Here is a 14,891-nt window from a genome sequence, read left to right on the forward strand (position 1 = left end):
TAATCAGGCACCGTGGTACTCACAGGCTGGAGGCCTTATTAGCACAGAAGACGAGAAAGAGACTTCAGCAGCAGAGACAGGGAAGTAATAGGGACATCAGGTGGAGGGCATGGGAGAGGAAGGTGGCTGCTGCACGGAGGAAGTGAAACTCCATACTTGCACATCTGCGCATGTCCAACAGAAATACAATGTGGCTACTCATGCCATTTTAAAATTTCTAGGAGCCACATTAACAGAGAAAGCAGGTATGCTTACCCAAAATACCATTTCGACATATAAACGTGTAACATTTTTTTCCTTACTAAATCTGTGAAATCTAAGTGTGCATGCCCCACAGTCACAGCACAATTCAGGTGCTAAATTTTCACCCAAAATATGTGATCTGTATTTAGATTCCATAAAACTTGCAGCTGAAAAAGTAGATTCACATACCCGAGGTGTCCCCAACATATCTGGATGTTTTTCACTAACTAAACTGAGCATCAGCTTTGAAAATTAATTAGAATTTGATTAAAGTAAAAATTCATTTCCTCGGTAGCACTAGCCACATTTTTTGATGCTCAAGAGCCACGTGGGGTTAGTGCTGACCTCACTGTGAAAATCTAAGAGGTTTCACTGGCTAGGAGGCCAAGGGCAGGCATTTTAGGAACTCTGCTCTGGGGCCACAGGGATGGGGAATACTACACATTCAGGCTGGTTAGACCCCAGTCAGTTTCCACACCTACCACTTTTATCACCCACAGATCCACCTGTGCTTTAAATCAACCTGCTCAACTAAAATATATCTATTTAAAAGAAAACATTAACATAGCATTAGTATTAACACATCACCTGTGTGAATGGGGGAAACATATGGGAAATCTCAACACAGGATACAATCATTGTTGAGTTTCCTGTATGCAAAAAAATGTTTATGCGGTTTTAGAGGACAGTGCCTTTATTCTTTTTTTTTTTAAGACACAGTAAAAACTTTAATAATCTTATTTTTATTATGGTAAAATATATGTAACATAAAACTTACCACTTTAACCATTTTTTACTGTATAGTTTGGTGACATTAAGTGCATTCACGCTACTATGCAATCACTATCTAGCTCCAGAACTTTTTAATTTATGTATTTATTTTCTTTAAAGATGGGGTCTTGCTATGTTGCTCAGGCTGGTCTCAAACTCCTGGGCTCAAGCAATATTCCTGCCTCAGTCTCCCAAAGTGCTGGGACTACAGATGAGCCACCACAACTGGGCGTTTCAGAACGCTTTCACCTTGTAAAACAAACTCTGTAACCCATATATCCACTAAACACTAACTCCCAATCCCTGCCTCTGGCAACCACCATTCTACTTTCTGTCTCTGTGGAAGTGACTCCTATAGGTACCCAGCGTGAGTGAAACCACAAAGTATTTGTCTTTTTGTGGTTGTCGTATTTCACTTGGCATAACGTCTTCTAGGTTCATCCACATTGTAGCACCTCTGAATTTCTTTTTTTTTTTTGAGACAGTCTCCCTTTGTCGCCCAAGCTGGAGTGCAGTGGTACGATCTAGGCTCATTGCAACCTCCACCTCCTGGGTTCGGCGATTCTTGTGCCTCAGCCTCCCGAGTAGCTGGGACTACAGACACGTGCCACCACGTCTGGCTAATTTCTGTATTTTTAGTAGGGACTGGGTTTCACCAACTTGGTCAGGCTGATCTCAAACTCCTGACTTAGATGATCTGCCCACCTCGGCCTCCCAAAGTGCTGGGATTACAGGTGTGAGCCACTGTACCTGGCCTGAATTTCATTCCTTCTTAAGGCTGATTAATACTTCATATTTTGCCTATCTATCCATCCATCAATGGACACAGGTTGCTTCTATAATACCTTTTGGCTACTGTGTATAGGGCTGCTATGAACATGGGCGTACAAATACATGTTTCAGTCCCTGCTTTCAAAGAGAATGCCCTTAAGAAATGTTTGCTGAAGTACACAGAGGTAATATCACATCTGCAACTTATTAAAAGGATTTATGGGTGGCTGGGAAGGATCGCTTGAAGCCAGGAGTTTCAGGCTGCAGTGAGCTATGATCTGCCCTCCAGACTGGTGACAGAGCAAGACCACATCTCAAAAAATAATAAATAAAAATAAATAGAAGAAGAGGAGTGAAACACAGGATCCAGTTATAAACTTGGACAATCACCCATCAAAAATCAGCTCCTTCCCAGAAGATGTTTATAAGGCACAGGCAGAATTCATCCGGAACTGCAGACACTGCCCTAAGCCCATCCACACCCTCCGCTGGCTTCTCCTGCTGGTGTGCAGAGCACAGAACAGCTTCACAGTCTTCCCTTGTTTTTACCAAAGCAGCCGAGCAGCTGGTGCTACACAGGCTGGTGCACTGCCCAGCAGACACACAGGGCCGCCGAAGGGAGGAAGTCAACGCCCGAGGGTGGCCACTAAGCCGTGGCGGGTGCCTGCCCCTGCAGATGGAGGAGGGCTGAGTTCTAAGCACACTACTCTGTGAATGGCATGAATGAGCTCTTTCACTGGCACCAGAGAGAACACGCAACAGTACCATCTGCTGAGGGGAGGGAAAGTTCAGAGGAGCAGGCACCGACTCCTCAGGCTTCCACAGCCACCAGGTCCCCACTGTGTCAAGGCGGCTGTTAATACTCAAGTCCCCTCCTCCACTCCTGAACATGAGAGTTAAACAAAGTCAGCTACAGTCTCTTGGTCCATAACAACCTAGGGAAAGCAAACTACAGAACCACGTTAGAAATGCTTCACGTCTTTTACCTCAAAATACCTTTGTTTAGTAACCCCACTCCCCGACACAGGCCCCATAGCTCTGTTTTCTGGGTTCTGACAACTAGTGCCCTAAGCCAGAGGCCAGGCCCTAAAGAGACAACCTAGGCAGGCTTGAGATGTTTCTCCCACGACCTTTCCAAATGATTCCAGCAGAAAGCCAGACTCCTTAGCTACTTAAAATCAGAAAACAGCTGGGTGCGGTGGCTCACGCCTATAATCCCAGCACTTTGGGAGGCCGAGGCGGGTGGATCACCTGAGGTCAGGAGTTCGGGACCAACCTGACCAACATGGAGAAACCCCGTCTCTACTAAAAATATAAAATTGGCCGGGCATGGTGGCACATGTCTGTAATCCCAGCTACTCAGGAGGCTGAGGCATGAGAATCACTTGAACCCTGGAGGCGGAGGTTGCGATGAGCCGAGATCGCGCCACTGCACTCCAGCCTGGGCAACAAGAGCGAAACTCCATCTTAAAATAAATAAATAAATAAATAAAATAAATCAGAAAATAGATGGGTATTACTTCCCACTCAAAACCACTCTCAAGGTAGCTAGGTTAGTGCAAAAGTAATTGCGGTTTTGATCCAAAAAAAAAAAGAAAAAAAAAAGCCAAAACAGCAGTTACTTTTGCACCATCCTAATAGATCTGATGAAACCAGGAGAATGGAAGCTAGGAAAGATGTGGCTCACAAGCAATGGGAGAAGTGTGCTTGTAAGGACACTGGAGCCCCCCAGCCTCTGGGTTCTGCCCACGGGGCACCACCCACAGCCAGGTCCCTGCCTGCATAGACAGGAAGGAAAACGGGGCCACTTCACAGGGTGCTACAGGGCTCTCAGCAAGGGGCTCAAGTGAGGGAAGGCTTTCCAACGAAGCAGCCTGAAGGGCAAGGAGTAATTCACATTTTTGTTTTAGTTCTTGGAGAGGTTTGGTTTCAAGGCAGGATAGACACATTAAAAACCATATGACTGCCTTAGGCTTAAGGGTAGGGCAGGGGGTCACACGCTAGGCATATGAAGCCCTAATGACAGGTGTGTGTACTTCTGAAACCCAGAAAATGAAATCCCTAAGGACTTCACTGAGGATCCATTGGAGATTAAAAAGAAGCTCCCATCGAGGCCTCCTCCTGCTCGAGTGACATTTAACACCAAGAGTAAGCTGACTGACATGTGGATTATTAAAAGTGTATTCAAAGTCAATGTTAAAAAGTTAGTACTAGACCATTTCAATTCTCTTCAAGACGCAGCACTGACTTAGAATGGAATTTTTGATGCGCCTCCACTAATCCTGTTACGTTAGAAAACAGAAATAGAATTTGTTCCCTTGGCGTTCACTGGTTGCCATAGAAATCAAAATGCATTATACTTTCAGGTGAAGAAATGCATCACGAGTACTGAAAAAGAAAAACTCTCATCAAATCCAGTACAAACTCAAACCACCCCTTTAATAATAAATGGGTGCAAGTATACACCTAGAACACCACCCAAACAGATGTGTTCCAGCCCTGGGGAAGCAATTTCATTCATTTCAACATACAGAACACCAACCCCTAGAAAGATGCTCTAGGCAAACAGCTAATCTGGCCAGGCTGGGACTCTGCCTCAGATGGTAAAGCTCACAACATATACACCCGCTTCTCATCTAAGCCTGCAGTTTTCATGTTTCCAGTGTGTTCCATCTCATACCCATATGTACGAAAACCTAAGTGTACCCCCTCTTCCCTCATAAACACAGGCTCCCTCATGAGTTGGTTTTGCTATCTCTAGGGGATGATATACAGGCTATTATAAATTTGATTTCAACCCAAGGAAACATTTGAGAGGTTTTAAAAAGCGTTCTTCATAAATGAAAAAGAAAAGAAAAAACTCTATTGCATTAAAGACGCATATGGTATTTTTTTTACTGGTCCCAGATGGAAAGAAGTGGGTATGATGGCACTTCAGACCCTGCAAAACCCCCAAGTCAATGGGTTATGGTAACTGTGACCTGACCATTGCTTATCACCCACCACCACCACCCCGATCCTGTTCCTAACATGTGTCTACTGGGCCTGCTCCTGACTTGTTATGCCCTGCTCCTGGAGTAGGCCTATAAGGAGATGGTGTTAAGGTGAAGAACAGACTGCAAATCAGCTCCTAGTTGAGGCTAGCCAAACAGCAGGTGCCTGGGGATGACTCAGTATCCCCATCATTTGAAATTTTCCTGGTTTAGGTGAAAATACTGGGAGTTCTGACTCATCCTACTACATCTCTTGGGAGACTGTGGGCTCAGGAGATTCAACACAAAGACATCTGCCCTTGTGGGTTCACAGGAACAGATAGACAATCAAGAATGAAAATAACAACTAAAATTAGGAGATGGTAAACCCTATGGAAAAAAGAAATGTAGGTGGCAGATGGGATGGCACTTTAAAAATTCCTACTCCTTATGACTTTCACAAGTGAGGCTCTGTGGTTCCTAATCTCTTCTCATTGCCTCCGTATTATGCACTGAACAGGATAACAGTCCACCCAGAGAATACACATTCTCCACTGGAACATCTCATTTATGTGCAAATTGCTCTAAAGCTGGTTCCCCTGATATATAACTATTTTGAACACAGGGGCTTGTGGCTTACTTAAAACCACAGCTTCCATTTGGTGATAGCATCTTTATACTATCATCTTTAAAGATAATGAAAAACGACTGAATATGCCTTTGAGAATTAATGTACATATGTAAAAGAGCAGCTCATTAAGCAATCCCATACGACTTCAGTGGTTTGCATGCTGTACTACTTTGCCTAGACATTGATTTTAAGAAGCTTATGTATATCTTCCTGAGTCAAACGAAGGTTCAGTCATCCTTGACTCTACCCTTCAGGCAGGTTATGATGTCAGCAATCCTTAGGTTTACATTCTTACAGCCAAAAGGATGGTAATTCCTTCCACTATACCAGTTATTTTGCTACGTAGTGACAAAATGATTCCCTAAATAAACTGTAAGCAGTGCTGAATGATAGCCACTCAGCTAATCAAAGCCACATTTTTCATTTTACAAATATGTTCCACCTTTAATTGGGAAAGCAAGCCAAAAGGAGACCCCCTAGTTATCACAACATCCCACCATACTTAATGATCCCACCCTGGTGTTCTCTGTATCCTGGAATTCTCAGAAGTTATACAACTCTCATAGGCCAAAAACAAAAGAGCTTCATTTCACAGCCATCTGGAGGTGCCTTCATGACACTCAATTACGGCTGCAGACTCAGATGACTTATCTACACCCCAAAGGGTCTGCCTCTGCTGCTGGAAATGCTAGACCCAGAAGCCCTTGGCACTAATTTGGACCACACAATGGACTACGGGGAAAACTACCTGCCTAATAGGGCATCGTGAGCAAATGAGAAAACAACTGTAGATGTTTCGTTGAAAAGCCTGGGCCGGGCGCAGTGGCTCACGCCTGTAATCCCAACACTCTGGGAGGCCGAGGCGGGCGGATCACGAGGTCAGGAGATCGAGACCATCTTGGCTAACATGGTGAAACCCCGTCTGTACTAAAAATACAAAAAATTAGCTGGGCGTGGTGGCGGGCACCTGTAGTCCCAGCTACTGAGGAGGCTGAGGCAGGAGAATGGTATAAACCTGGGAGGCGGAGCTTGCAGTGAGCTGAGATGGTGCCACTGCACTCCAGCCTAGGTGACAGATCAAGACTCCGTCTCAAAAAAAAAAAAAAAAAAAAAAAAAAAAAAAAAAAAAAGAAAGAAAGAAAGAAAAGAAAAGCCTGAAACATCCCCAAACCAAAAGTCTAGTTTTAGGTCTCACAATTTCGGATGTGAAAGGATTGCAGCAACAGAAGGAGGGTAACTCTGCTCACACTGCTGGTAGTTAATGTCCTACTCTCTTAACTCCTCTTGGAGTTAAGTGCCCCTGAAAGGGTGCTTCCTGCCAGACCACACCAAGTGCACACCTGGGTGTCTCCACAACAGCCGACTACTGTCGATGCTAAAAGTTCAAGGAGGCCAATGGCAGCACCACTCAAAACAGTGACATCCAGGCTGAAAGAAAAAAATAAATAAATAAGCTCATCTTTAACTCAGAAAAAGATTAGCTGAACCTCAGGTGCCAATATAAAAACCGAAGCTAAAAAACAAGCCTGAAACCATACAGTTTCGCTTGTTAAAGACACTAGAGTGGTTGTTTTAAGGGCTCCTGGCTACCTGAGCCCAAACCAGAAGTCCTAGGAGGGTGGCACTGGGTAGACCCAGCAGGGTGGCACCGGGTAAGGCCACTGGCAGGCTTATCTCAGTTCCCAGGACACCAGATCATAAGCAGACCATTAAAAGGAGAGTAGCAGTTAAAGGTACAAGACAGGAAGCAACAGCTGGCAACTCGATAGCAGGAAAGCAGACAGCTATGTCCTCTTGCCAAAAGAAAAATCAGCCAAAAATTTAACCGCCATGGCAGAGTGTAAGAGCTTTAGCCGACTCGTGCAGGCACCACTCGTTAGTCTCTAGTGGATATGACTGATAGTAAGGTGTCCCCAAGCTAGCGACCCGGAAGGGGTAAAGCACACCTATATTTTAAATGTTTATTGTAAAATACACAGAACCTAAAATCCGCCATTTTAACCATTTTTAGGTGTACAATTCAGTGGCTTTAAGTACATTTACACTGTTGTGCTACCATCATCATTATCCTCCTCTGGAACTTTTGCATCATTCCAAAAAGAAACTCTACCCACTCAACAGTAACTCCTTAATCCTCCTGCTCGTGGTAACCACTATTTTTTGTGTATGTATTTGACCATTTTTGGTATCTCATGTAAGTTGAATCACAATATTTGCCCTTTTGTGTCTGACTTCTTTCTCTTAGCATAATGTCTTAAGATTCATCCAAGTTGTAGCATGTGATATTGTGAAATACATATTTGGTCTTCACCGTTTCCTGGCATACGATTCCCTGGAATCCCCAAAACGCTAAGTGTCTTTTTGTAGGCTAATGAGTAGACTGAGGGCTGGGGGCTCCTGGATAGCACAATCAGGAACAATTAAGAAATGGAGCACCATGCTAGGACATACCATGAGTCTGAGTTTTCGCAAATGTAATGATTTTCTCATACTCTGAAACTAAACATTTCTGTGTTGAGCAAAACATAAACGCCAAGGCGAAATGTTCTTGTTCCCTTGCATTTCTGCAGCTGTAACTGATAAAGGTCTGGACGTGCAGTTCACAGCAGAGGAGAGAGACTGTGGCTGCTCTGGACACATCTGGACGACAGGCACCCAGCCCTCAAGATGCTGTCTGCCAGCTAGGTGGAAACACCTCATGTGAATGGGCCCATTTGCTTCCTCTCCACTCCAAAAGGGGATGAGAAGAGGAATGTTGGTATGTGATTTTTGCAGCAAGCACTGAACTCAAGCGAAGCTTGGTTATCTTGCCACCTGGAAGGTTAGGTGTGGGAGGATGACACTAAAAGAACTGGCCCAGAAATCCAGGGCTAATTTTGTTCCCCTTTCCCACTGTTTTTGCAGAAATCTCAATATACCACAGGCAGCCAACAGCTCAGGAGAGGATCGTGCTCCAAATGTTCATCGAGCCAATCATTGGGACTTCTCTGCCAGGTTCCCAGGGAAGAATGTTGTAAATGATGGCTGGGTGCCATGGCTAATCCAAAATGAACAGAATCGCTATCTCCTCAGAGCCTGGGTCCCTAGGGCCTGGCCAACATCCAAGGTGCCTGGGACACAGACAGCCAGTGAGGGGCATCTGGAGCCCTGTGCAGTGAAGTAGCAGGCAGTCAAGGATATTGAAAGGTGTGCAGGCTGTCCCAGACCCCACGCCCAGAAGGCCATTCAGAGACCAAAGAACATGACTAACTCCAAAATGAAGATAAAAACTACAGTTCAGCTATGAATGTTTTCCGTCTAAACACTCAACACCATACTACTACTTTGTGCTGTTTACAATTTCCTAGCCTGCTATTAAATAAAAGGTTCCATAAAAGGGGGCAACAGCCCAGAAAACAAACCATATTGTTGAAGTTGAACCTCTGCCCATCCCAGAAAACCAGCTTGCTGGAGAAACCTGTGCCATGTCCCACTGCAGCCTGGGGGTGCCACGGTGTGTGTCTGGTGTCTATGCATACTGTATCCCTAGCACCTCATGGCACTGGGCATCTAACAAGAGCCCAGGGACTAGAGACAGGTTCCCGCATCTCTCTCACGGATGCACTTGCTGTTGCTAGCTCATGTGGCCTCCTGACCCTCGATTTCTTCTATCAATACACTAGGCTTTCTCTGCCGGGAATACCTTGTTCTCCAAGACACTCCATCTGGCTAAAATCTTTCCTTCAAAAGGCTTTCCGTGTGTCCTCCATTTTTGCTAATTTCAAGCCTGCCTTGGGTGGCTTTCCCAACTGTTGCTGTGGCCAGAATTTGCCTTATCACAATCACAGGGTATCTACTTAATGCTGAGAAACTAGATGCTTTCCCCCTGCATCTGGAACAAGACAAGCATATTCTTACTACTCTTTTTCAATCATACTTCAAGTCCGAACTAATGTAATAAGACAAGAAAAGGAAATGAGAGAGGCACAGATTGGGAAGGAAGAAATAAAACTGCCTTTGTGGGGGCTGCGTGCGGTGGCTCACGCCTGTAATCGCAGCACTTTGGGAGGCCGAGGCAGGTGGATCACCTGAGGTCAGGAGTTCAAGACCAGCCTGGCCAACATAGTGAAACTCTGTCTCTACTAAAAATACAAAAATTAGCCAGGCATAGTGGCACACGCCTGTAATCCCAGCTATTCGGAAGACTGAGGCAGGAGAACTGCTTGAACCCGGCAAGTGGAGGTTGCAGTGAGCTGAGATTGTGCCACTGCACTCCAGCCTGGGCAACAAAGGCGAAACTCAGTCTCCAAAAAAAACTGTCTTTGTTCACAGATATGATTGTTTAGGTAAAGAATTCCGGCCAGGCACATCACAAGGCCAGGAGATCAAGACCATCCTGGCCAACATGGTGATATCCCGTCTCTACTAAAAATACAAAAATTAGCTGGGGGTGGTGGCGCACGCCTGTAGTCCCAGCTACTCAGGAGGCTGAGGCAGGAGAATCGCTTGAACCCGGGAGAGAGAGGTTGCAGTGAGCCAAGATCGTGCCACTGCACTCCAGCCCGGCGACAGAGCGAGACTCCATCTCAAAATAAAAAAAAAAAGAATCCCGAAGACTCCTGGATAAGAAGCAAGGCTGCGAGATACACAAACATCAACTGCTTCTTTATATACCAGTAATGCACAATTACAAGCAACCACAGCATCTACCACACTGTAATGCTGTGGCCGCATTTGTTCCCCTTCTTCCAAGTGCATATTGGCATGGATAGTATCTAGTGAGTGCTTCGCAGGTTGACAGGCCTCAATGTGTGTTTGAAGAAAGCCAGAGATTAGCCACGATGGTCAGCCACACAAGGCCCAAAGCCTGAGGCAGAGGCTAGCACATGATGTCCGCAGACCAGCCAGTGTGTCTTTAGAGAGCAGTGGCGCGGAGAGTAAACTATGGCCGCTGAAGTGGACAGGGAGCCAAAAGGATCTGGATGTGAGGCAGCATCCCAAAGTGCAGTCTCCTGACCGTCCAGCCACACTGAGATTCTGAAGCACCACTCCGTCCAGCGGCAGAGCTTTAAGTTGGAAAATCCAGGGGCATAAAGGGAGACAAATCAACTTACTCTAAATCCTCTGAAAATTCCCTTAACAAAGGAGTTGTGTTGACAGAGACTTCTCTAATCTGAAGAGCAACTGTTTCTCCCTGGTTCTCTAGGCATATAACCCTTTCTGCCCACCTCTCATGGAGAGTAGGCTCTGACGGCAGAAGCCCCCCCCACCAACAGCCACCACATGAAACAAACAGATACTTCAAAGCCAGAAGATCTTTGTTCAGATCCTGCCCCTGGGCAGGCACCTCAGCCCCAGGTCCATCTTCTAGGTGGATTTCGTAACATCTACCTTGTATCTGTGAGGAGTAAACAAAAGATACATAAAAGCAGCCAGCATAGCTTCTAACAGATAGACGTTTAAAAGTTCCTTCCCCTTTGACACACAAAGTCACAGGATGTGATACAGCAGTAGCCCTCAGTTACATTAGCCCTCAGCTACATTCTTAACAAAAGACACAACATAGCATGGCAGCCAGGCCTGGCATGGTCTCCAGTTGTGCCCTCCCGTTGACCAGGCTGCACAGACTGCAGAGCCTTCCAAGCTGCTCCTTCTGCAGTCCTAAATCTACTTGAGAGCCGCTGCTAAGAAAACATCAGATGGACTATACTGCTGCTCCCTACCTTCCTGAATAAACAACGTACACACGATACAGAGAAGCACTGAGCCACTGCCACCGAACCCCCCCAAACCCTGGCTTCACAGAGTTTTAAAATCGCCTTGGGGTACTGCGGTTGCTTTTCAAGTCTTTTACCCATCAAAGCCTGACGCACTTCCACACATTCCTTTGTAGTGTTTACTGGACAAGTGCAAAGAACTAAGATACGCTCTGTATTTACAGAGCTAATGGGCCTCTTTCACAGCAAGTTGACATCTCATCTGCTTTTGGACATGCCTTTGCTCAGGGATCAGGTTTAGTGGGAGATGCCCCACCTGCTGGCAAATGGAATACAGCTGTGGACTCTAACCAGGCGTCCTCACTTCCTCTGTATGAAGCCAGCCTTCGTCACAGCAGATGATGTAAGAGGCAGAAACCAGCTGGAAAATTGCAGGTGAAATGGTAATGGCAGCATATAAGGACCATGCCCAGGAAACCCAAGGGACCAGGTGCAGCACGGTGAAAGAGTGCTGCCTACATGTGTGCCCATCCACAACCTCAAGCATTTCTGCAATCCTGCCTGCAAGATGAAAGAAAAGGAAGCATTACAGGAGATTCTATTACAACCAGTGGAATCTGCAGTTGGGAGAGCCACTATGAGGCACAAGATGATGGCCTGCCTCACAAGGGTTACAGCAGCACCCAACAATCCTGAGAAAAGATCCCTCTGTGCCTGCCTCTGCAGGCCCAATGACTCATAGCCAAATTTGGACTTTATTATAAGCAACAGTTTATTAAGGTGGGCTCTGCAAAAGGCACAAACACGGGTGGAGGTCCACAAACAAAAACACTTAGCGTAAGCACTGATGGAATATTTGGCCTGTTTTTGCCTTGAATCTTAGCTAAGTATGTACAGGACTGTAGTTAACTCAACGGCTTTCAAGAAAAATGCAAAATGCTTTCTTTGCATTCTTAATATAAAAGCTTGTGGTTGGCCGGGCACGGTGGCTCACGCCTGTAATCCCAGCACTTTGGGAGGCTGAGGCGGGCAGATCACGAGCTCAGGAGATCAAGACCAGCCTGCCCAGTATCTATTAAAAATACAAAAATTAGCCCGGCACGGTGGCAGGCGCCTGTAGTCCCAGCTATTCAGGAGGCTGAAGCAGAAGAATCACTTGAACCCGGGGGGCAGCGGTTGCAGTGAGCAGAGATTGCATCACTGCACTCCAGCCTGGGCAACAGGGCGAGACTCCAACTCAAAAAAAAAAAAAAAAAAAAAAAAAAAAAAAAAAAAAAAAGCTTGTGGTCACATCCCTTCTCTCCTCACCCCACCCTGAAAAAGAGATGAAAGAAATTCTATACAGCTTCCCTAACACTTTGAACTAAGCCAAAATTATAACAATCTACTTCCCACAACCAGAAAATCAGCTTAACAGAAAGAATGCCCAATCATTCAAATATCAATCCGACTCCGCCTAAGACCCAAAGAAAGAAAACAGGTCTCACACTAAGACATCCCCAAGCAGCCCAGGATAATTTCCTAGGATTCTGGCATTTGGGTAACTGCTGGCACATCGTGTCACCTTTACAGGTCACACCCCAGGTGTAGCAACAACCCTCTTCTGCCGGCACAGAGCCCTTCCCCAGTCATGGTGGCACCACAAACACTTGCAGTAAGTGGGCACATGGGGAGCAAACATGCTCAGCTATCATGGCTGCCCACCGGGGTGGCTAGGTATCCCCCATTTTGTAGAAATAGGCAGTGTCTTCCATCTGGGAAAGAAGAGGGGCTCTTGTCAGTCCTGTCTATTCCTGATCCACGTGTCTGTCTTAAGGGAGAAGGCCCCATCACTCTATGAGAAGTGACCATCACATAGAGAATGAACAGAATGACCCCTGCCATTTTAAAAAGAATTCCCCAAGACTAATGGTTGCTGGAGAGTTCTGTAACTTTCACAGAAACTCACACAATTCCTTTCTCATGATATATGTGCTCATATACCCATCAAAGTCTTTTACCCATCAAAGCCTGACACACTTCCACACATTCCGCACACAGATTGCTATGCTATGCCCACAGCAAAGTAATCAACTCAAGAGTCCCTTGGTGGTGGTGGTGGGTAGGGGGTGAATGAAGAAGACAGGTAAGGCCTGGGACATCCCCGCCATGGCCAAGCCCAGCTAAGAAGCTGGTCGACACAATTTTCGATTTTGTGATCCCCAGCTTCAAGCATAACTCTCAATATGGACACATGTAGAGACACACACAGAACAGGGACACATTTACAGGGACATGTTTCCATGGTTCCTTCAGTGGCCCAGCATGAGTGGATTCCTTGGTATGACGTTCTGTTTCCTTTTCCCTAAGGCAAGTCTGCATTAACCAGCTGGCTTCACTCAGGAGAGTGGGGCTCAACATTCCAGTGCTATGTGTCCTTACGGCAAGTGGCCACCCACTTCTGCACTTCACCCACCCAGGCCTGTTAAGGTTCACGAGGAAAACACGACTTAATTGCTGCTCCACAGAACTGCTGTTCTACAGAGAGCGTATGAAGAGCTGCCTCTCCATCTACAAAGAGAATCCCTTGGAGTTTGCACCTGGCCAGGCACAGTGATTCATGCCTGCAATCCCAGCACTTTGGGAGGCTGAGGTGAGAGGATCACTTGAGCCCAGGAGCTGGAGACCAACTGGACAACATAGTGAAACTCCACCTCTACTAAAAAATTTTAAAATTAGCTGAGTGTGGTGGTGTGTGCCTGTAGTTCCAGCTACTCTGGTGGCTGAGGAGGGAGGACCGCTTGAACCCGGGAGGCAGAGGCTGCAGTGAGACGTCACAGCCACTGCAACTGCTGCCTGGGCGACAGAGCAAGACCCTGATCCGATAAATAAATAAAAACAAATAAAAACCTATGTGTCGGCTGGGTGTGGTGGCTCACCCCTGTAATCCCAGCACTTTAGCAGGCCAATCACTTGAGGTCAGGAGTTCAAGACCAGCCTGGCCAACATGGTGAAACCCTGTCTCCACTAAAAAAAAAAATACAAAAAGCCAGGTGTGGCGGTGGGTGCCTGTAATCCCAGCTACTTGGGAGGCTGAGGTGGAAGAATCACTTTAATCTGGGAAGCAGAGGTTGCAGTGAGCAGAGATCGTGCCACTGCACTCCAGCCTGGGTGATAGTGGGAGACTCCATCTTAACAAAAACAAAAACAAAAAATCAAACAAAACCATGTGTGGGGTAGGGCAATCACCCGTAAGACAAAATAAAAAGATAAATATATACCAAAAAAAAAAAGAAAGAAAATGCACCTGGGAAGATGCTCCCCGTCACTAGTCATGAAGAAATACAAATCACAGCCACACTGATACCACTGCAAGACTATGTGAATCCACTGCTTCCCACCCCTAAAACCCTGACAATACCAAGTGCTAGTGAAGATGAGCAACGACTAAAACTCTCATCCACTGCTGATGAGGGCGAAAAATGATGCAACCCTCCAGAAACATCTGAGAGTTTCCTGTAAAGCTAAACATGTATTTATTCCAATGACCCAGCCATCTCACTTGCAGGTCTTTAACCAAAAGAAAGAAAAACATGTTCACACAAAGAACTGCATGTGAATAGCTTTAGCAGCTTCATTAAGAATCACCAAAAACTAGAAACCATCCACGTGTCCTTCAACTGAGAAATGCAGAAAAAGCTGGGGTCTATCCATATGATGAAACACTACTCAGCAATGAAAAGAAACAACTGAAACACTCCCACTAAGTAGTCAGATGACTCTAATAAACTATGTTAACGAAAAGAAGCCTGACTCAACCTCTACCTC

General features: G+C 45.9%; 1 protein-coding gene across 7 annotated transcripts in view, besides 3 other annotated features; it reads right to left on the reverse strand.

Moving 5' to 3' along the window:
* BRD4 (bromodomain containing 4) overlaps window positions 1–14,891 on the reverse strand; it is a 97,021-nt gene that overhangs the window by 50,779 nt on the left and 31,351 nt on the right. The gene's annotated exons all lie outside the window — the stretch shown is intronic.
* Window positions 7,041–7,100: an enhancer, noted in NCBI's record as "active region_14183". NCBI's record gives its function as "activates an Ori minimal core promoter by ATAC-STARR-seq in GM12878 lymphoblastoid cells {active_cell/tissue: GM12878}" and the evidence as "EXISTENCE:reporter gene assay evidence [ECO:0000049][PMID:35858748]".
* Window positions 12,687–13,214: an enhancer, noted in NCBI's record as "H3K27ac-H3K4me1 hESC enhancer chr19:15409795-15410322 (GRCh37/hg19 assembly coordinates)". NCBI's record gives its function as "activates a minimal SCP1, AML or CMV promoter by ChIP-STARR-seq in primed H9 embryonic stem cells {active_cell/tissue: H9 hESC(primed)}" and the evidence as "EXISTENCE:reporter gene assay evidence [ECO:0000049][PMID:30033119]".
* Window positions 13,641–14,348: an enhancer, noted in NCBI's record as "H3K27ac-H3K4me1 hESC enhancer chr19:15410749-15411456 (GRCh37/hg19 assembly coordinates)". NCBI's record gives its function as "activates a minimal SCP1, AML or CMV promoter by ChIP-STARR-seq in primed H9 embryonic stem cells {active_cell/tissue: H9 hESC(primed)}" and the evidence as "EXISTENCE:reporter gene assay evidence [ECO:0000049][PMID:30033119]".

This window comes from Homo sapiens, chromosome 19 (assembly GCF_000001405.40).
Source record: "Homo sapiens chromosome 19, GRCh38.p14 Primary Assembly".
NCBI lineage: Eukaryota > Metazoa > Chordata > Mammalia > Primates > Hominidae > Homo > Homo sapiens.